This window comes from Homo sapiens, chromosome 7 (genome assembly GCF_000001405.40).
Source record: "Homo sapiens chromosome 7, GRCh38.p14 Primary Assembly".
Classification (NCBI taxonomy): domain Eukaryota; kingdom Metazoa; phylum Chordata; class Mammalia; order Primates; family Hominidae; genus Homo; species Homo sapiens.
In genome coordinates, this window is record NC_000007.14 from 158,683,452 (window position 1) to 158,704,607 (window position 21,156).

The following is a 21,156-nucleotide window of genomic DNA, read 5'->3' on the forward strand; positions in this document are numbered from 1 at the left end:
GTGCGGCATTTGAGTACAAAGAGTCTGACCTGTCCATCTTATATTTCATGAGAAAAAAACCTGGACCCTTTTGTCCAAGCTTTCTTATTTTAAGTCCATGCTTCTTAGAATCCCTTTGGTTTTCTTATAGCAAGGAGAATGCTTTGCTTCTCTTTTATTTGATGAAATATCAAATCTGTGCCAAATGGCAATGTAAGATTCCACCTACCACTCAAGGCTAGTTCAAATCAGACAAATTTCAGAGACTGAGTGCATGGTGAGTGTGGAGCCCCCTCTTCTGACTCATCACTGACCTGGACAACCTTCAGAAGACTGGATTTGTTCCAACAGCCTCCACAGAACAAAAACAGAACTACCTCTACGGCGGAAACTGTAAATAAGATATTTCAGGGCCACTGTTGACAAGGGCTGAGCAAGGAAGGTGTGTGGGAAGCCCTTCATCAGCCCCATGCACTAATGGTACTCAGAGTGCAGCAACTGGGAAAAGGCCTAGCCTCTAAGAGTAGCAAAAAACCCCAGTGGACCCTATGTCTGTACCTGTACTCTGTGCCCACCCTCACACATGAGCAGGATTTCTGTGGCTTTGAGGAAGGACCTAAGGAAACGCTCCTAGGGTTAATACTAATACAAACCAGAGTCTGCAGATGCTCAAGTTCCTCTTCCCCATTATATTTGAAAATATTTCCTTCACCTGAAGTCACTTAGCATCACTTAATGTGGGACAACCACACATTGTCTGACTTGCAATGAAAGATGAGATACACAGCACTACCTGGGAAGTTATTTGTACCATAAAAGTTGAATCCAAACCTTTAGAGCTAACTATCAGTATGCCAACATTCTACAGGACAACTGGTCCAGTTTCCTCACATGCCAATGGCATAGATTTTAAGAAAAGGAAAGGAGGGAGGAATGCTCTAGAATAAGCGATTTTAATGGTATAACAAGCAAATGCCATGTGGGCAACTTGTTGAGTCCTAATTCAAAAAAACTCTAAGGAGACATTTGAGATCACTGGAAAAATTTTAATGTGGCTTGATTATTTTTAAAAATACCAAGGATTTACTGTCACATTTTTAGGTCTTACAATGGCATTCCATAAGCACATTTTTGAGAGATGAATAAAGTAGTATGTAGAAATGAAATGTCAGGTCTGGAATTTGCCTGAAAAACTTAAAGAGAGGGAGGGCAGAGAGGAATGGAGTGAGACTGAGAAATACACATTGTTGATACCAATTTTGTATACATCTAGTCAAATAGTTTTTATTTTGTTTATTTTTCTGTAGAGACAGGGTCTCGCCATGTTGGCCAGGCTGGTCTCAAACTCCTGACCTCAGGTGATCCACCCTCCTCGGCCTCCCAAAGTGCTGGGATTACAGGCGTGAGCTACCACGCCCAGCCTATTTTTTATTTTCTAGAAGTCAGTGATAAACCTTGGCAATACAAATCAAGTGTAAGTTGTGCAGAGGAGCAGAGAGGATGGAAGTAAACCCAGACATGGGGCAGCCTCTGTCCACTCTGCAGGTTCCTCCCTCTGCCCATCAGTGCAGGGCCTGCTCTCCAAAGAGGAATGAAAAGTCAGGATAGAACACAGGGTTGTGAGAGGCTCCTTTCTGACCTAGAGTAAAAATTTTATTCTCAGAGAAAAATAAAATGATTGAGAACCTGGTATAAGAAAAATATAAGGGAAAACAAACACACTTTTTTGTCCAAAAGGGTATCTGGATGTTGAGTTGGGATTGTGGATTACATAGCCCTATCTTCATAACATAAATACTATGTATTCACCAGAGTTACCCATAATCAAAGAAAATATCTTCAAATTCTCAAAAATAATGTAACTAAAAGAGGTGACTTGAAGTCCCTGAACGGCACTATCCAATAGAAACTGAATGCAAGCCACAGATGCAATTTTAAATTTTCTAGTGGCTGCATTAAAAACAGACAAAAGAAACAGGTAAAATTACTTCAATATTACACAGTCATCCCTTGGTATCCATGGGGGATCAGTTCTAGGACCTCCCTCAGAGACCAGAATCTGCGGATGCTCAAATTCCTCATATAAAGTGGAGTAGTATCTGCATATAACCTATGCACTCCTGCACACTTTAAATCATCTCTAGATTACTTATAATACTTAATACAGTGTCAATGTTATGGAAATAGTTGTGACACTATATGTGTAGGGACTGATGACAAGGAAAAAAAAGTCTGTACATGTTAAGTACAATGCATTTTTTTCCCAAATATTTTCGATCCTTGGTTGATTGAATCCATGGATGCGAAACCCACAAAGGGCCAACTACCACATTTCGCCTAATACATCCAAACCACTAACATTTCAACATTCACTCAACATTTTTAAAAAGTACTGAGATATTTTATATTCTCATTTCCATATGAAGTCTTTGAAATCTGGTATGTTTCTTACACTTACAACACATCTTGATTCAGACTGGCCACGTTCCAAATGCCCAGTGAGCACATGGCTGGAAAGATCAGGGTCAGAGCTCCCTCCCAGCTGAAAGAGCACAGTCCTACCTCCCACAAACCACACATCTTAGCAAGTGACTGGATTGCCCATCAAATAGATTTTCATTATTTGGCTTTATTTTGACAGAGTGCATAAACATGGATCTTAAATAACCCTTCTTTGACTACTTATTTAGTAACTAAAATATAATAAAAATAAGTGTTAACATTTAAAAAAATGAAAATACCTCCAGTATTTTCCCTGAAGCCTTTTTCCAAGCTCTGAAATAAATTTCTGCAATGTATACCATCAAAGACCTATATAAAAAGATCAAAATAGTTTTAATGCAAATTTTAAGAATTATTCTTTCAACATGTATCATTTCAGCTACTCTCCAACCATAGTGAAGAAGAAACTCAGTTTAAACTAGTGCTTTGCAAATCATCTATAGAAATAGGTTATCTACCTGTAGCAAAAAGTAGAAAACGGAGAAGGTTTTGGGAAAGGAAACTGAAGTGACGAACTATTTCATCCTTCTCAGTCAAGGCTTACCCAAAACTTTACTATTTTCTGTGAAACTATGAGTGCATAAGTCCAGAACAAAATTCTAAAGTCAAAAATATTTAAATATAAATAAATTGTCGACTTGGAGTCACGTTGGACTTTTCACGCTACCAATTCCTGAGGTACAAGAAGCCCTAAAATACCAGTATCAACTTAAGAATCATAAGCTTAGAAATCTATTAGTTCAACTCAAATATTCTGAAGATGAGGAAATATGAAAAAGCAATCTAGTATACAACAGGAGCTTTGCAATCAGAGATCCAGAATCAGATCCCAACTTGGTACTTATACAGTTGCCTGACACTGGGAAATTTAGAAAGCAAAGCCTATCTCAAAAGAGAGTTGTGAGGATTAAATTTTAAAATGGAGACTAAGTACTCAGTGCTGGAGCAAATGAAGTACTCTGCCTTGTGCCTGGCAAACGACAAGCACACACTTGACATCTCCATCACGCAGGGAGTGGCAGAGTCATGACTGCAACGTTCCCTGCTGCTCCTGCAGATTCCACAGGCTCTTCCGAGAAGCCACCCTGGCCAGGCCACGTTCAACCAAAAAGCACACATTGCATTCAAAGTACCATGGACATGGCTTTATTACGAGCGAGGCTAAGGTTCAACTGGAAACTATTTTAACTATTTAAAGAACTACCACAAATTAAAACCTTAATTTCAGTGGTCAATACTGGAAAAGAATGATTTCCTATAAAAGGAAAAAGCTACCCAGTGATCCAATGGTACATAATAAATAACGTATTTCTAAAGCTTCTAATCCATTACTATAACTTAAGAAGTCAGACCAAATGGAATCTTTCAAAACCAGATTAAGACAGCACAAAATCTTCAGTACTTTTAACACTTACTTTTGTAATCCCTGTAACTGGTTTTTAATGGTCCCGTGGATCATTTTGATGAAGTTGATATTCCAGTTGAAGAGACAACTAAGAAATCTTCTTCCCTAGAAATAAAAAAGGATAGAATGTTTACATTGCAACCAAATAAAAAGTGCCAAATAACAAACAATTATTTGAACGTCTAGTAAGCTAAACATTGCTATTGCTAAAAACGAGGCACATGTAATTATCACTGAGAGCACATGCACGAGTTGAGCTGTCTGCGGGGCCTGCACAGCCAGGAGCCACACAAGCCACCTCCCCCAGGGCCGAGCAGCCGCTACACTGAGCGCCTCTGTCCTCAAGGGCCACAGGTGCAGAGATGGAGACCACAGACAGTAACCATGGGTCCATAAACATCTCATTCTGGCTCTGTCATGGATGGTTCCATAGTCTCAAATGAAAGAAAGCTTTAAATCTAGCATAGGTGGGTGGGAATGGAGTTGAATATCCCAGTTCATTTCACCTTCTCATTTATAGATGAGAAAACTGAGGACTCATATAGTTAAAAGGCTAAGTGTTTGTCAAGCTAGAATTTCCAAATACACAGTCTTCAAGTCATAAATACATCATGTGATGATAATTTATATGCATGCTACTAGATTATGTATCTGAACCTAAGAAGAATGAATACAATCTTCATACTCTATAGAGTGCATAAGATGCATCTATCTAGAACTCTCTCAGTGAATAGCACCTTCATCTCTTACCAGCACACCACTGCACAGAACTGGAATCCTACAGAAATGCAATACATTTTGATTCAAATGCAGGGTAACCATGCTCACAACAGGCAAGTTAAAAAAAAAAACAGTAATATTCACTGGAAGTAATCTGTTAGTACAGTACAAGATGTTTATGGTTTACCCAGAATGACTGGAAACTGACCTGACCAAATTAATGATTGATTAGGAAACTACATTTAGATATCTTAAATTCAAAGGAGACATCAATTTTTTAAAAAGGGTAGAGGTTATAACACATACATACATTTATGTCTGTTATATATCTGCACACATATATAAGTTAACAAGTACGATTCATCAACTCCTTATGTATAAGTCAACATAAAATAGTTTATTGTTTGAATCCATCATTAATTTCTTCACTCTCCCATTTCAGAACAATCCTGGAGACATGTGTGGGGCACAGGCTGTGTCCAACATCTTTGTAATAACGATGGTGCTGACACAGCAAGGATGGCAAAGGGCAGCCCTCCCCAGGGGTTCTTATCCACCAGCGCCTGGGCTGCGGTTTGATACATATTACCTCATCTGTTCCTAACAACAATCCTGTGAAACAGTAACTGTTGCTCCTATTTTACAGAACAAAACTCTGAGGCTGAAAGGCCTGACCAAGGGCACCACCTATAAAGTGAACAAAGACCCTGGGAGCCAAAGGTCTCAGTCCTAATCACATGGCCCTTTGTCTAGCAGACTGCAGATGGCTCGCCGGGGTCCAGTTCTGTCTCTGCCGCTGAGCAGCTGTGACACCTGGAGGAAACTTATTCTGTACCTCAGAGCTGGTCCTCCTCTTCCTCTGAAGCCCTTCTCCACCTCCTTCAGGGAGGAGGGATGACTTCCTCCTTCTGCCTCAGAGATGTGCCTGCTGAGCCATGAGCATCCAAATGCAAAAGCTTGTTCTAGTCTCCCCTGGCACTGCCTGAGCATGTAGTCGACGCTCAGTAAACAACTGCAGAAGGCCCCTAACACAGAAGAACTATGCGAGCCTCTCTGTAATTCTCAATTCTTTAGTAGTCATGTTAACAAAAGTAAAGAAGATTAATTTTAATAATATATTTTATGTAAAGCAATATTTAATATAACAGACAATAAAAATATTGTCTATTATATTAAGTATAGAACAAAAATTATTAATGAGCTATTTTATGTTCATTTCTTTCCCACTAAATCTTCAAATCCATGTGTATTTTATACTTATGGCTAATCTCAGTTCAGTTGGGTCCCATTTCAGGTGCTCAGTAGCCTCATATGGGAGTTGACCCCAGGACGGGCAGTGCAGCAACAGGCCAGAAGCCTCTCTGGATTTACAGGATGGGTAGAAAAAAGAAAGGGAGGATATTATGGGATGACAGTTTTGAGTACATGGCAATTAAAATGGAATTAGGGCAGAAGGCCAGATCTCATTCATAGAGAAGTGCTTTCTCAACCTTATTTTTAATCATTCTTAATTTAAAATGTAATTACGGTTCCCCTAGGTAACACACAGCCACCTGTTACCATCCAATTTAATGATGAAATAAGCAAGGACTTGTAAAATGTCTTCTCTAGTACTGCCATGCAGTAAAAATCATGTGCAGTAAATAGCTCCTGGTAGCTAAGCAACACCGAGCATGGTGCAGACAGGAACCATGTGAACACAGGAGAAACATCTATTAAGAAGCAGCTCACAAACAGATCAAAAAACAAATACCTATTTACCTCTTCTTTCTTGATATAATTAATATTTATGAAGCACTCAAGTAACATATCTTTAATTTCTCCACTTTCCTCCAAATCATAATCAAAGCAATATAAAGCTTGATGGATACGCCAAAGCCGACATACGTCTGCACCCTAGGAATGACACAAAAAATGTGATACCTTTTTCAATGAACAGTAAAGTCATATTTCAAATCAAGTATATTTTATATCATAAATAATGGTAATTCTAGTTGATTCATCAAAGATTAAAAAATAACGACAAATAAAAACAGATTTTAAAATTTGCAAATGCCCCCTATAGCTCTACAGAACATTTTTTTAAAACATAAGGAAAATAATTAAAAATCCAGCAAGTTTAAGAACTTCCTCGATGATGAAGATTTTATACATCTGAACTGTCTAGTGCAGTAGACATTAGCCACATTTCACTGTAGAGCTACTAAAATGTGACTAATGCAACTGAGGAACTGAATTTTTCATTATTTTTAACTTTAAATTTAAACAGCTTTCTGTGGCAAGTGGCTACTACGTTGAATAGCGCAGGTTTAGAATGTTAGGAAGACGTTTAAAAATAAAGTCCTAGCTAGGTGGTGCACTCCTGAAGTCTCAGCTACTTGAGAGGCTGAGGCAGGAGGATTGCTCGAGCCCAGGAGTTTGAGGCTGCAGTGAGCTATGATCATGCCACTGCACTCCATCTGGGCAATAGAGAGAGACCCTGTCTTTAAAAAAATAAAAAGTGAGCATACTGTCTTAGTCTCCAGACTCCTCCTTAGTAACATGACAAAGGCTGTCTTTCCTGTGTCTTCCTTGGCAGGCAGGCCTTTCTCCCACCAGGTAACACACAAATCCTGAATAGAACTCTGTAGTTTTCGTTCAGACTCAGGTAATGCATATAAAATACCTAAAATACAGCACAGTAATTTTCCAATTAGTAAGGCAAATTCTTATTACTTCAGAGTCAACAGTTTAGAGTATCATGACTTTATATATTATTTAAAGCTTTGCTAAGCAAATAATATTAGTTATGTTTAACTTGCCAAAGATTTATATACATTAGTTATAAAATGCAAATAATGTTAATTAAAAAACTGTTTGACGATTGTTATAAAAAGACCCTCAACAGACATAATAGAAAAGAGATTTTTGGAACTGGAAGTCTCAGAGAAATCGTATCACCAATTTTAGAAAGGCAGATGCTGAGGCTAACCAAACCTCAGTGTAACAACACCAATGGTATCTCTGTTAACACCAGAGCCAAGACAGGTCTACTGACCAATCAATAATCCACTACTATCCCTCAATGTGCCAGCCTCAAATTTTGGCTCAGAGGTGAAAAACAGTCAAAGCAATTACCATAATGAATACAAAAACTGCAGTGCTTTTATTAACAGAAAAGCTCAATAATTAGATTAATGATACTAATGCTCATAATTATAATCTGTAGGTATCTGAATGTCATTACACTAATATAACATTCCTGAATTAACTGGGAAGTTGATAGCAACTACAGTGTTAGCACTAATCATTTCACTAGTTATTTGCAGACCATACAAATAAACTGATAGTAAAATTCACAAAGCATTTGGAAGCTATTTTCATTATGATTGGGGTGACTTTTTAATAAGACACTGTATTTCAACTCAAGAATTCAGAATAAAACAATGTACTATAAAACATACATAAATCCAAGTGATGCTAAGAATAAGAAGCTTGATGAGATACTTTGTCACAACAAACTAATTACACTCGCACAGTGAAGGATGAGGGTATGTGAAAAGTTTTCTTAAAAATCATTAAGATATTTTTACATCTTTTGTAACTAAAATTTTATATATTTCATAATCAAATATTTTCATTAACTTAGACTAAATTAATAACTAGTTTTACAGTTTTGTTAAAACTTGAAAAGTACCATCATTTAAATTTCAATACAGTAAAACTCCCCTAGGAGTCAATAATCACTCCTCAGATCACGTTCACAACATACTTTAAGAAAAAATTCAGTGTCACAAATTCTTAGTTAAGTTGACACTATCTAGCAATGGTAATCACATAATCAGGTATTTTCTTCTCAACAAGTTCTTGATCATTGGTCCAGTAAGTCAGACTTCCCTGAAAAACCTGTAAATAGCAGTTAGTTGCTGAGTACTGCCCATCTCACCATCTATAACATCTGAATGGAGCTTAAATTAAACTAATTAGGCCAGACACAATGGCTCATGCCTGTAATCCCAGCACTTTGCCAGGGCAAGGTGGGAGGATCACTTGAGCACAGGAGTTTGAGACCAGCCTGGGCAACACAGTTAGATCCTGTCTCTACCAAAAAACAAAACAAAACAAAACAAAACAAAAAGCATGGGCCATGGTCCCAGCTACTAAGGAGGCTGAGGTGAGAGGATAGCTAGAGGCCAGGAGGTCAGGGCTACAGTGAGCTGGGTTCATGTCACTGCACTTCAGCATAGGCAACAGGGCGAGATTCTGTCTCTAAAAAAAAATGATAAATATAAAATAAATAAGTATTCAGGACAACTCTTATGTAAGTATGCTCCTATTCTAGCTGAAGAAAAAGAACTTGACTGCAAAGCTATACCTTTATACAACTTCTGCTACTAAATTCAACAATGCTCATGAAAACAACTAGTTTCCTTTTACAAAGTATCATTTCAGGCCAGCCACGTGGGAGGCTGAGACGGGTGGATCACCTGAGGTCAGGAGTTTGAGACTAGCCTGACCAACATGGAGAAACCCTGTCTCTACTAAAAATACAAAATTAGGCGGGCGTGGTGGTGAATGCCTGTAATCCCAGCTACTAGGGAGGCTGAGGCAAGAGAATCGCTTGAACCCGGGAGGCGGAGGTTGCGGTGAGCTGAGATCGCGCCATTGCACTCCTGCCTAGGCAACAAGAGCGAAACTCCGTCTCAAAAAAAATAAATAAATGAATGAATAAATAAAAACAGAAACAAAAACAAGTATTTCAACACCCACTTCTAAATATGCCATTTATAACAAAATCAACTCACCATTTAATATAATAACACATTCCAGTAGGGCTTCGTAGTTCTCACTTTCATTTATTACAGACACAGAAGCAAGAATCACAGATGTAATTGCATAAATTATTTCTATGCTTTTTCTCTATAAATGAAAAATCAAAGCATGAGTGAATTAAAATCATCAACTTAAAATCAGTTTTTAGCAGAAATTTCAGTTACAAATTTTCTAAAAATCAAGCCACAATTCTAGCTTATTCTAAAAAGAATTAAAGTTGAATAAAAGTAAATCATCCTAAAAGAACAGCAATATTTAGTATTAGATTAATAACAGTAGGGTTGAAAAGTGAATAAAACTACAACAGACTAAACTTCTAAAATTCTTGACTTCTAACTTCAAAATCTGTCTTAATGTAAAATTCAATGATACACAGTGAAGTTATTTTTTGACAAAAAAAAGAGAAAAACGTTTCTTATTTTTGAAAAACAAATACTACCATTTTTGAGCCATGTTCGGTTTCCATATTGTCTTCACCCTGGGCTTCCACTACCTGCCACCCATCCACTGGGCTTTCTAACAACACATCTGTCAATAAATTCTTCAGCCTTTGCCATAATTCTTCTTTCTGTTTCCTTGATAATTCATCTAGTAATTCATTTAGGCTGAAAGGATCAGAGGCCTCTTTCTGTAACATAAATAGCAAGTGTCACATTTCAAATACAAAAAATTAATCATATCCTTTTCATAATGTCATCAAAAGAAAAGTTAAGTGTTAACTTCATTACAAGTTCAAGAGTTTGGTTGCAGTATTCAAAATCCATTCCTAAAAGGGAAGAAGCACAGGGATTCTCCACCTATTCTTTCCTAGCATCCTAATCTTCAGAGTTTTTAAAATTTCACCCACTTAGCAAAACCCTCCCTAAAAGGGACCCAAATGTCCACCATCTCCATACCTAGAATTAGATTACAAAAGTAGGCTAAAGTTCAATAACAATGGCAATAATAATACTGTGGCCACAGATTCCAGCCCCAAGTGGGCCCTCAACACCACCTTCTACTCATTCCTCAATATCATTCTCTCCCACCAGCCAACAAGATGATTTCAGATCTCCTCCAACAACCCTCTAAACCCATTTCCTCTTATCTGAGATGACCTCACGTACTCTTTGATGAAGCAAATAGCGGCCCTCATCAAAAGGGCATAGAATCCAATTAAAGGGACTCCCTATAGCCAAATTTGGAACAATGTGAGCACCAAAACAGTGACAGTGATTAATTATAACCAGTTGAATGAAATAAGCATAAACGAGGCCAAGCCAACCACTCTGGGAGAGAGGGCTGCAGTGAGCTGTGATTGTACCATTACACTCCAGCCTGGGCAACATAGCAAGAGCCCGTCTCTAAAAAGAAAAAATCAATGACAGCATACTGATAATAAATATCAAATCATTAATTAATAGCACCTGCATGCTCTAGAATGTCAGTGAATAAACATAGATGCAATACAGGGTTAGAAAATCACTGTTTTATAGCCATCACAATAATTATGGACTCTGGCAGGAATTATCGGGAGATGCTGAAACAAGTGGGTGGAAGCCTGGTGAGCAGCAGGACATTACAGTGTCACCACTTTCCCACAGAGGCAGGTTCCCAGAAGAGACCTGGCGGACACCTACCCACACAGGGACGGACAGACCATGCCATGCGCTTCCTGTCTTGACAGCGCCGAGGACCTAACACTGCTAAGCAGTTCCTGCCAAAATGCACACTAAAATTTAATCAGATCCTCAACAGATGCAAATTGAAGGCTATACCACAAAAGAGCCACTTGCACTCTTCAAAACTGTCGGGGTCATAAAAAACACAGTAAGATGGAGGAACTAGAGTAAAGATAACCTCATAAGCCCTCCATCCCCCCATCCTCTCTTCCTGCTCTCCTAGCTCCTCTCCTGCCCTGGTGTTTGTTTTCTCCTCTTCTTAGCGCTCCTTCATTTTTCATCTAGCTTTTTCCACCTCCGCTTGTTCACTTCTATCTACTCTCTTTCCTCGTTTCCTTGACCCTCCTCCCCTTCAATTCTCCTCTCCATTTTCCTTAAGCCTTTGCCTGTCAATCACATGCAAACACAGACCAGCTCTCAAATGTTTGACCTTAGACAGTATCTTGATCTACCTATAGACCCGACATTCAATCATGAACAATTGAATAATTCTTTACGCCTCAATTATGCAGAAAAAATAAGTTAATGGCCCGCTTAAGTCCATTAATGGTAATTTTCCAGTATATCAATGGACAGTTTTGGTGCTGGGGTCATTCATCTGGGTGATGGACCACAGCTACTGTGTTCAAAGATCAAGAGGTTCTATTCAGGGCAAACTCTGGTGACTGAAGGTGACCAGAGAAATGACTGGGCTGATTCATGACGCTTACATCAGGAAATACTAGTTGACTGATGGTTAGGGCACAGAAACGAATCAGGACCCACCCTGCCCTGAGTAAGTTCACAGTCTAGGGGCAAGAATAACAACCTACAGATTGTTAAAATCTATTAGAGGTGTATGCTGAAGGATATAGCCTGAAGGAAAAGAAATAGCTGCCCATCCACCTATGTGACAAACTAGGATGGGCTGCTAACTCCTTCCTGAAAAATCAACCCTGAAGAAATGAGAGTGAGAGAGGTTCCAGTAACAAACTATAGCAACAAAATGAGACACACACCCAGCTTCACTGAAGGCTGTTTGGAGCTGGGGATGTGAGAAATGAGTGGCTGTTGCCTAGGGCACTGAAGAGCTGGCTGGAAGGGCAAGGAAAGGATGGGGGACAAAAGCTGTTCAAATATCAAAATGTTCTACCTCTCCCCAGCATGGCCTTGGGGTGGTCATTGCCTGGCATTGCCACGACATTAGCAGTGACGGCCCAGGCCTCTAGGGCCATAGGACACTGGGCAAAGGCAGGGCAACACAAAAGCCCAGCAGTTAGAAAGAACACGTGCAGACTAGCGAGCTGCCTGTGGGCATCCTTCCACAACCACCTCCAGCCCCCGGATGCAGAAGCTGTGCAGCCCTGTGCTGTACAGAGCGCACCAGGATGAGGGGCCGGTGGGGTGGACATCCTGCAGGGCCTCTCCTCCCTGTGTGAGTGCCCTGGCCACCTGTGCCCCAGCAAGGTGCCTTTTTGTAGTCTATATGCCCAGAGGGAGGTATCCTCTTGTGACTGGCACAATGTGTATGAAGCAGGGGAAGTCTTGTTGCGTAGCAAAAAACTTGGTAGCATAAAGCAACAATTTTACTGTATCTCATGAATCAGATGCTCACTCTTGGGGACACATGCCTGTGCTTAAGGTGGCAGCTGGGTGTTGGATGTCTGGCACTTTGGTGCCCACTAATGAGGTCTCCCTCTGCAGTCTCATCCTCCAGCCTTTGTGTGTGGTCTCTCTCTCCAGCAGAGGGTGATCCTGCACTTCTTACATGACAACCACGGGCTCCGAGAGGAAGTAGAAGCTGCCAAACTTTCTGAAGGCCACTTCCTCAATATTCCGTCCGTCAAAGCAGGCACAAGCCCAATCCAGATTCAAGAGGAGAGGACATAGGCTGCAGAGGGTTATTTAACAGGATTATCCACAATGTTAAATTTCCTGATTTTGAGGATTTTAATGTGATTATATAACAGAATATCTTTTAGAAAAATACGAACTGAAATGTTTAGAGATAAAGAGGCACAATGCCTACAACTGACTCAAGTGATTCAAAAAAATGTAAATACAAAGGATGATAAAGAAAATGTGGCAAGTGGTAAAAACTGGCAAACCTGGACGTAGGGTATTCAGGATTCCTTTGAATTCCTCTTGCAACTTTTCTTTTAACTTAGCAGTTATTTCAACAGGAAAGAAATTACTTCTCCACCCTAACCCTGCCACCCTCCTCCTCCTAAGTCCACACCCTTAGCTTCCCAAATGTGCCCTGCCTCAGGGGCTCGGCCTTTCCCATTCCTTTTGTCTAGAATCTTCTTTTCCCAAATCTCTGCATGGCCCATTTGGATCTCTGATCAAATATAGTCAGGCAATGCATAGTGATATTTCAGTCAATGACAAACCACATATATGAGAGTGGTCCCATAAGATTATAATGGAGCTGAAAAATTCCTATCACCTAGTGATGTCATGGCTGTCAAAACATCATAGTGTAACAGATTAATCACATTTGTGGTAATGTTGGTGTAAACAAACCTACTTTTTATCATTGTTTTAGAGTATATTCCTTCTACATTTTTTTAAGTTAATTGTAAACTAGCCTTAGGCAGGTGCTTCAAGAGAAATTCCTGAAGGCAATGTTATCATAGGAGATGAGATGACAGCTGCATGTCTGTTATTGCCCCTGAAGACCTTCCACTGGGACAAGATGTTAAGGTGGAAGACAGTGATACTGATGATCCTGACTTGGTACAGGCCCAGGCTTATGGTATATTTGTGTCTTAGTTTTTAACAAAAAAGTTTAAAAAGTAAAAATAGATGGCTGGGCATGGTGGCTCACACCTGTAATCCCAGCACTTTGGGAGGCCAAGGCAGGTGGATCACCTGAGATCAGGAGTTTGAGACCAGCCTGGCCAACATGGCGAAACCCTGTCTCTACTAAAAATACAGAAATTAGCCGGTGTGGTGGCGTGTGCCTGTAATCTCAACTATTCAGGAGGCTGAGGCAGGAGAATCACTTGAACCCGGGAGGCGGAGGTTGCAGTGAGCCAAGACGACGCCACTGCACTCCAGCCTGAGCAACAGAGCAAGGCTCCAACTGAAAAGAAAAAAAAAAAAAAGTAAAAATAGAAAAAAGCTATCAAATAGGGGTATAAAGAGAGTATTTTTAGCAAAGACATGGAATAAACCTAAATGCCCATCAATGATAGACTGGATAAAGAAAATGTGGTACATATACACCATGGAATACTATACAGCCATAAAAAAAGAATGAGATCAAGTCCTTTGCGGGGACATAGATGGAGCTGGAGGCCATTATCCATAGCAAACTAACACAGGAACAGAAAACCAAATACAGCATGTTCTCACTTATAAGTAGGAGCTAAATTATGAGAACACATGGACACGGGGGAACAACACACACTGGCCTATTGGAGGGTAGAGGGTGGGAGGAGGGAGAGGATCAGGAAAAATAACTAATATAACTAAATAACTAAAAATAACTAATTACTAGGCTTAATACCTCAGTGATGAAATAATCTGTACAATAAACCCCCATGAGACAAGTTGACCTATGTAACAAACCTGTACATGTAACCCTGAATATAAAAGTTAAAATAAAATAAAATGAAGAAAGATTTTTTGTAAAGCAAAATAAGTTTGTGTTTTAAGCTAAGTGTTATTATAAAGGATTTTAAAAGTTTATCAAGTAAAACAGTTACAGTAAGCTAAGGTTAATTTATTATTGAAGAAAAATGTTTTTATAAATTTACTGTAGCCCAAGTGTAATGTGTTTATAGTTTACAGTAGTGTACAATGACGTATTAGGCCTTCACATTTACTCACTACTCAGTTATTCACCCAGAACAACTTCCAGTTGTGCCAGCTCCAGCTACACTAAGTGCCCTATTCAGATGTACCATTTTTTATGTTTTATACTGTATTTTTACTGTACCTTTTCAATGTTTAGACACACACCATTGTGTTACAACACTGTGCCTACAGTATTCAGTACAGTAACATGCCACACAGGTTTGTAGCCTAGGACGGTAGACTGTACCATCTAGCCCAGGTGTGTACTGAGCTGCTCCATCTGGGTGTATGTAAGCACACTTTAGGATGTTCACACAACAATGAAATGACCTAATGATGCATTTCTCAGAACCTATCCTCATCAAGAGTCATGTGACTGTACCAACTCTGTTCAAATATCATCTCTGAGGTTTTCTTTAGCCACTCCATCGTTCCCAACTTCCACTTCCACTTGCTTTATCAGTAGTAGTAGTATTTTTTTTTTTTTTTTGAGACAGGGTCTCACTTTGTCACCCAGGCTGGAGTGCAGTTGCACAATCATAGCTCACTGTAGCCTCAAACTCCTGGGCTCAAGTAATTCTACTGCCTCAGCCTCCCAAGTAGTTGGGACCACAGGCACAAGCCACTACACTAGGCCAATTTTTTAACATTACTGTAGAGACGGGGTCTTACTATGTTGCCCAGGCCAGTGTTATCCTGGCCTCAAACGATCCTCCTGCCTCAGCCTCCCAAAGCTCTGGAATTACAGAGGTGAGTCACTGTGCCCAGCCTCCACCTGCTTTATTATTTCTCTATGTGTCTTGTTTTTCTTCCTCTACCACTAGAACATAAACCCCCATTTGTGCAGAAACTTTTCTTTGTGTGTACTATAACCCCAACTCTCAGTGCAGTGTCTGGCACACAGAAGGCACTTAGGACATGTTTGTTAAATGATGGAATTCTCCTCAGTGCTGTGTCCTCCTCCCCATCATTGATTCTCCAAGAAGGACAAGGGCATACAGTATAATCAGCTCCACTCTGGAACACTTGCTTGAAAATAAAAATTTGTTCCAACATTGTCAATACATCAAGGAACAATTTGACCAAAGGCAAATTCCCATTTGCTTATGTGGGATTTCATAGGCAAGAAATACCAGGTGAATGCAGAAAACTGCACCCACTGACTGGAGCCACCAGGATCCCATGAAACACAACTCAGACACCTACCAGCTCAGTCCATTCATACCTGGGCCACACATTGTGCCCCTCACCTGCTATGACCCAAAGGCTCCAACCCCACTGCACTGCACCCTCCCCAGGCCCACCGTGCTCTCCAATGCTCTGTATTCCCCTCTGCCTTGCTTGCCTTTTTCTCCTCTGTTCTACCTCATTTTCTTCCTCTTACACACAGAGGGGCAGGTGTACCTTGGGAGCACAGGCACCTACTCCCAACTATAGAATGTAAATATTTTTCAAGGTAAAGTGCCATGCTTACTATAGTATTTATGCATTTCTTACTGATTTAACATATAAAATTATGCTACTGTTTTATTAGGTTCCTGTTTTTAACATGTCACTGGCAAAATTTTTTAGTGTTGTCCCTCTAACTCCATTTTCCCCATAATCTCTCTGGGTTATTTATTTATTTATTTATTTATTTATTTTAACCAATTCTGCAGAGTGCAGTGACTGTTGGTAATGCATGTGTGGGATTACAGCAGAACTAACTGTACTTGGAAAGATCTACCTGATAGGCCCCAAACTGATTTAAATTCTTATCAAATTGAACTATGGGAAACCATCATTATTATATAAAATGGCATTTCTGTCATTCAACTTGATGAAACCACGTGATGCACAATCCTACACATTTTCATTTTTACACGTAAGAGCCACACGGTGACTAGGTACTAAGCTGAACTGTTAAGTGTTAATAAAGCTTATTGATAAACTAGAGTTAATGCCTCATTAGTATAAGGACTAATTCAGTATTCTCCTGAGATGTCTGCTGGCTTTCCAGCAACACTGCAAAGGCTGGTTGGCACACAACGGGTGGCTGGAAACAACGCACCCCAGAAGGGCACCTGTCATTGTGGCCACCAGTGTGATTTTGAGTTGCTATTTTTACCTCTGATTTTCAATTTAGTTTTCTGTGATTTTGTTAACATTATGGTATGCACTTTGCAACAACAATCTTTTAGACTTTAAAATATGTATGTACTGCATTTCCAATACAATCCATATACACTGCTACTGCTAAAGCAGACATTTATATATTATCTAACTAATTTGCTCTTATAAACACTTCTATGGTGATGAGATGCCTATGAGTTTGCGATTATTTTTAAGTTTACAGGATATCATTTTATAATACCAAAACATGTTATAAGCTCATTTCTCTTATAAAGAAAAATGATTTCTTAAATGTTGCCAGTAACAAATTCATTATTAGATTCCTCTAATTCTTTGTCACTAATTTGATTTTCACCACATAATAAGAACAAGTGAGACAAGTGTGCCAAGGGTCTCCTGCCCCAAAGATACTTTCGTATTTCAGAGTCAGTGCCTCCAATGCTGGCTTCCTCAGAGATGTGTCCTAGGCCCTTTTATCTGAAACTCTACAGAGATAACTGCAGGCATTCCCATGACTTAGGCTTCCATGCCCAACCTGTCTCTAGCTCAGCCCTTTCCCCTGGTATCCAGACGTGCATGTCTGACTACTGGCCATCCGCTGGTGCACATCCCACCACCAGTCATCTGGTACCTCCAAAATGGAGCCACATTCTCCCTTGAATCTGCCCTCTTCCCACGTTCATGAGCTTGCTGAATGGTACTACACAGTCAGACGCCTGGGCCCTTCCCCACCATATCCATATCCAATCAGTCCAATAGTGCCATCACTTCACTACCAAGCAGCTTCCCATTTCCAGTTCCTAATTCAACCATCATTTTGAAGAGCACAACCTAAGAGGTTAGCCTTAAATATGTCCCTTTGACATATTTCTCACTTGTAGTCAGAGGAATATTTCCAAAAGGCAAACCATATTTTTCTCCTTACCTCTATTTTGTCCACTAGTTCTCTCTCCTTCTCTTTTGTTCTCTTCCTCCCTTGCCTACAGCTCGCTCCCTGCTTCAAGCACCCACCGTTCTCAAGATAAAGTCTGAATTCCTTAAAATGGTAAAGACTCGTGTAGCCTAGCCCCCAGCCTCATCTTCTGCCTTCCTGCTGAACTTCAAGTTCAAACACAACAAACCTTCTCTAGTCTTCAGAGTGACCTTCTTTGTTAGATGGGTCCTTTCCCCCAACATCCCTCTTTGACTGGTTAACTTCTGTTTATCTTTTACATCTTAGCGTAGCCCACCAGCAGGTAGATTTGAGTATAAAGGGTTTTGTTTTCTTCTTTCAAATAAACATTGGTCGCTAAGGATTCACTGAGATAACTATGTTTCTTTTGGGGACATAATGACTTTAGAACATATTTCATATTCACAGTCAAAAATCACAACAAAACTAAAACATGAAACTTACATCAAGTTGAACAAATTGCAAAAACTCTCCAACCAGCTCCTTAGACACGGCTTGTACAAACGTCTCACGTTTTTCCATGACAGATGGCACTGTTCAAATGGCATTTATTTTGTAACCCTAATGGAAAACACAATCATACTGAAACACTTGCAAATATATCTTTTCCTGTAAGATTTAATTTGATATTAACATCCAAGAACTGCAAGAAAATTCCTCAACCACGTATGGCAGACAGTTTCTAAAAACATTCTGACATAAAACACGCTATAATATCTGAAAAACAATTTACTTATTTCCTTTACTGGGGATGTGAATAACATGATATTAATGATATTTTATCAACAATTGTTAATAAAATTACCAACTAAGGAGGGAGAAATCCAAATAGCCTTAGGAAGCTCACCACCATCTCTCCCTTTTTAGTACCTTAGCAAGATGCTGGCTCGGCAGAGCTGAGTTGATTCAACAAAAGAACAATCTGATCCCAGCTGCAGATTCTGAAGATGCTCCCTTTCTAAAGGCCATTCCTCCATCAAAAAAATCCCACTGTTAGTGTCATCTTGTTATTCAAAGTGAGATGGAAAACAGTGGCCCCGGGGGTCACCTGGGATCTTGTTAGACTATGCATTAGGCATGCTCAACCACAGCACCCTCCTCCCACCCCTTCGGGATAATGAGAGCTCAGGGGACTTTGTATACCCTCCATCCTGCCTGTGTTTTTCCAGGAAATTCTATTTCGCATTCACAATACCTGGTGCTACTGGTGCCCTACTGAAAAAACATCAACCTAAAGATGAGGTAATAGCAAATGATGGAACACATTTGCAGTAGGAGCCCCCTCACTTTAAAAATAAATGAAAACCACCTGCACCATTATAAATAGAGCAATATGGAAAATTATTGCCAATAATTATGGGGACAGAGAGTCATCTTAAACATATAATACTAGATTTTAATGTCCAAATTGAACAAAGCAAAAATAACCTCAGTTTAATGACTCCCGAAATAAGTTAACAGTGAAGTCTGGTCATCTCATTCCTCAACTCAAATGGCTGAACTATGAACTACGGTCATGGACCACATAACATTTCAGTCAACAACAGACCACATGTATGACCGTGGTCCCATAAGATTATAATGCCATATTTTTACTGTGCTTTTTCTATGCTTAGATATGTTTAGCGATGCAAATACTTGCCATTGTATTACAGTTGCCTACAGTATTCAGTACAGTAACATTCTAGGAGCAGTAGGCTACACCATACAGCCTATGTGTGTAGGCTACACCTCTAGGTGTAGGCAAGTCCACTCTGTGATGTTCATGCAATGATGAAATTGCCTAACGACAACGTGTCTCCCTCTTTAAATCAAGCATGACTGGCACATTTTTCACTGACAAAGAAAATGGGGAGGGAAGGGAGAGTGGCCAGTAACAAGCATAATGAATAGTGGCTAGGACAAATTCATGATTTTAGAAAAATAATCCAATAAGGTGCAGCAAACACATGGAATCATACATCTTCGCCCGGCAAGTCTGTGAACACTCTCCACTTTTTCATAGTTCTGGTCACTTTTCTTGTTTGCTCTATTTCCAAGTGTACCTCTTTGGCATGTTAGTCCAACTTACAGTAATACACTTCCTCTAGACTACCAAACTTATTCCTATATTTCCCATTTTCCCTCTTATATTAGTGACTGTAATTTTTTAATGGTTAATTTTTCAATCTATCTCCCAAAGTGGCAATATTCCATGTTTCTTGTACCATATGTGCATAAGACCTCAGCCCTGCAGCCAGAATGCTACTTTCAAGGTAAGGAGTCATCTCACCATCCAGTTATCAGTCCGAAGAGCAGGTTACTCTTCGCACAGGAGGTCTGGTACTAAATCAAGATGAGCATTAAAAAGAAGAAATCCCTGTTACCTTCTCACCACCTGTGACTTCCCACTCCGTCCCCAAACTCCTTCCTCATGGACACAACAAGAGGCACCAAACCAGCAACAAGAGTTCAGGAGACTGATGTCTCTGAGGACAATGCCCACGTCCACAGCTGGGGAGATACTCTCTGAGGGCAGTGCCTACACCCAGGGCTCAGGGGGACTCTCTCTAAGGGCAGTACCGACACCCAGGACTGAGGGGACTCTCTCTGAGGGCAGTTCCCATGCCCAGGACAGAGGGGGTCGCTCTCTGAGGGCAGTGCCCATGCCCAGGACTGAGGGGACGCTCTCTGAGGGCAGTGCCCATGCTCAGGACTGAGGGGGTCGCTCTCTGAGGGTAGTGCCCATGCCCAGGACTGAGGGGACGCTCTCTGAGGGCAGTGCCCATGCCCAGGACTGAGGGGGTCGCTCTCTGAGGGCAGTGCCCATGCTCAGGACTGAGGGGGTCGCTCTCTGAGGGTAGTGCCCATGCCCAGGACTGAGGGGACGCTCTCTGAGGGCAGTGCCCATGCTCAGGACTGAGGGGGTCGCTCTCTGAGGGTAGTGCCCATGCCCAGGACTGAGGGGACACTCTCTGAGGGCAGTTCCCATGCCCAGGACAGAGGAGGTCGCTCTCTGAGGGCAGTGCCCATGCCCAGGACTGAGGGGACACTCTCTGAGGACGGTGCCCATGCTCAGGGCTGGGGGGTCGCTCTCTGAGGGCAGTGCCCGCGCCCGGGGCTGGGATTTTCCTCCGACACGGACAAGAAGGACGGGCGTCGCTGAGCTGGGTAGGGGGGATGGCCCGGGGTCGCCAGTTCCGTCCAGTTCCGTCAGAGGCAGCACTGCCCGCACGCAGGTCGGCCGCCTC

At 40.7% G+C, this 21,156-nt stretch overlaps 1 protein-coding gene across 19 annotated transcripts in view, besides 1 other annotated feature; it reads right to left on the bottom strand.

Moving 5' to 3' along the window:
• NCAPG2 (non-SMC condensin II complex subunit G2) overlaps nucleotides 1–21,156 on the bottom strand; it is a 73,636-nt gene that overhangs the window by 52,283 nt on the left and 197 nt on the right. For 8 of the 19 annotated variants that reach the window (XM_047420547.1, XM_017012376.3, XM_005249547.4 and 5 more), the window contains exons 2-8: nucleotides 18,371–18,487; nucleotides 9,858–10,046; nucleotides 9,391–9,505; nucleotides 7,117–7,271; nucleotides 6,368–6,502; nucleotides 3,897–3,991; nucleotides 2,721–2,790 (exon numbers count right to left, since the gene is read on the bottom strand). In XM_047420547.1, the coding sequence (XP_047276503.1) occupies nucleotides 2,721–2,790; nucleotides 3,897–3,991; nucleotides 6,368–6,502; nucleotides 7,117–7,271; nucleotides 9,391–9,505; nucleotides 9,858–10,046; nucleotides 18,371–18,448 (837 nt within the window). In that variant the 5' untranslated portion in view covers nucleotides 18,449–18,487. Of the gene's footprint in view, nucleotides 1–2,720; nucleotides 2,791–3,896; nucleotides 3,992–6,367; nucleotides 6,503–7,116; nucleotides 7,272–9,390; nucleotides 9,506–9,857; nucleotides 10,047–18,370; nucleotides 18,488–18,796; nucleotides 20,252–21,156 lie in introns of all 19 variants that reach the window. The other 11 variants (XM_047420548.1, XM_047420546.1, XM_047420544.1 and 8 more) reach the window with 3 other exon arrangements.
• Nucleotides 20,114–20,692: an enhancer, noted in NCBI's record as "NANOG-H3K27ac-H3K4me1 hESC enhancer chr7:158496256-158496834 (GRCh37/hg19 assembly coordinates)". NCBI's record gives its function as "activates a minimal SCP1, AML or CMV promoter by ChIP-STARR-seq in primed H9 embryonic stem cells {active_cell/tissue: H9 hESC(primed)}" and the evidence as "EXISTENCE:reporter gene assay evidence [ECO:0000049][PMID:30033119]".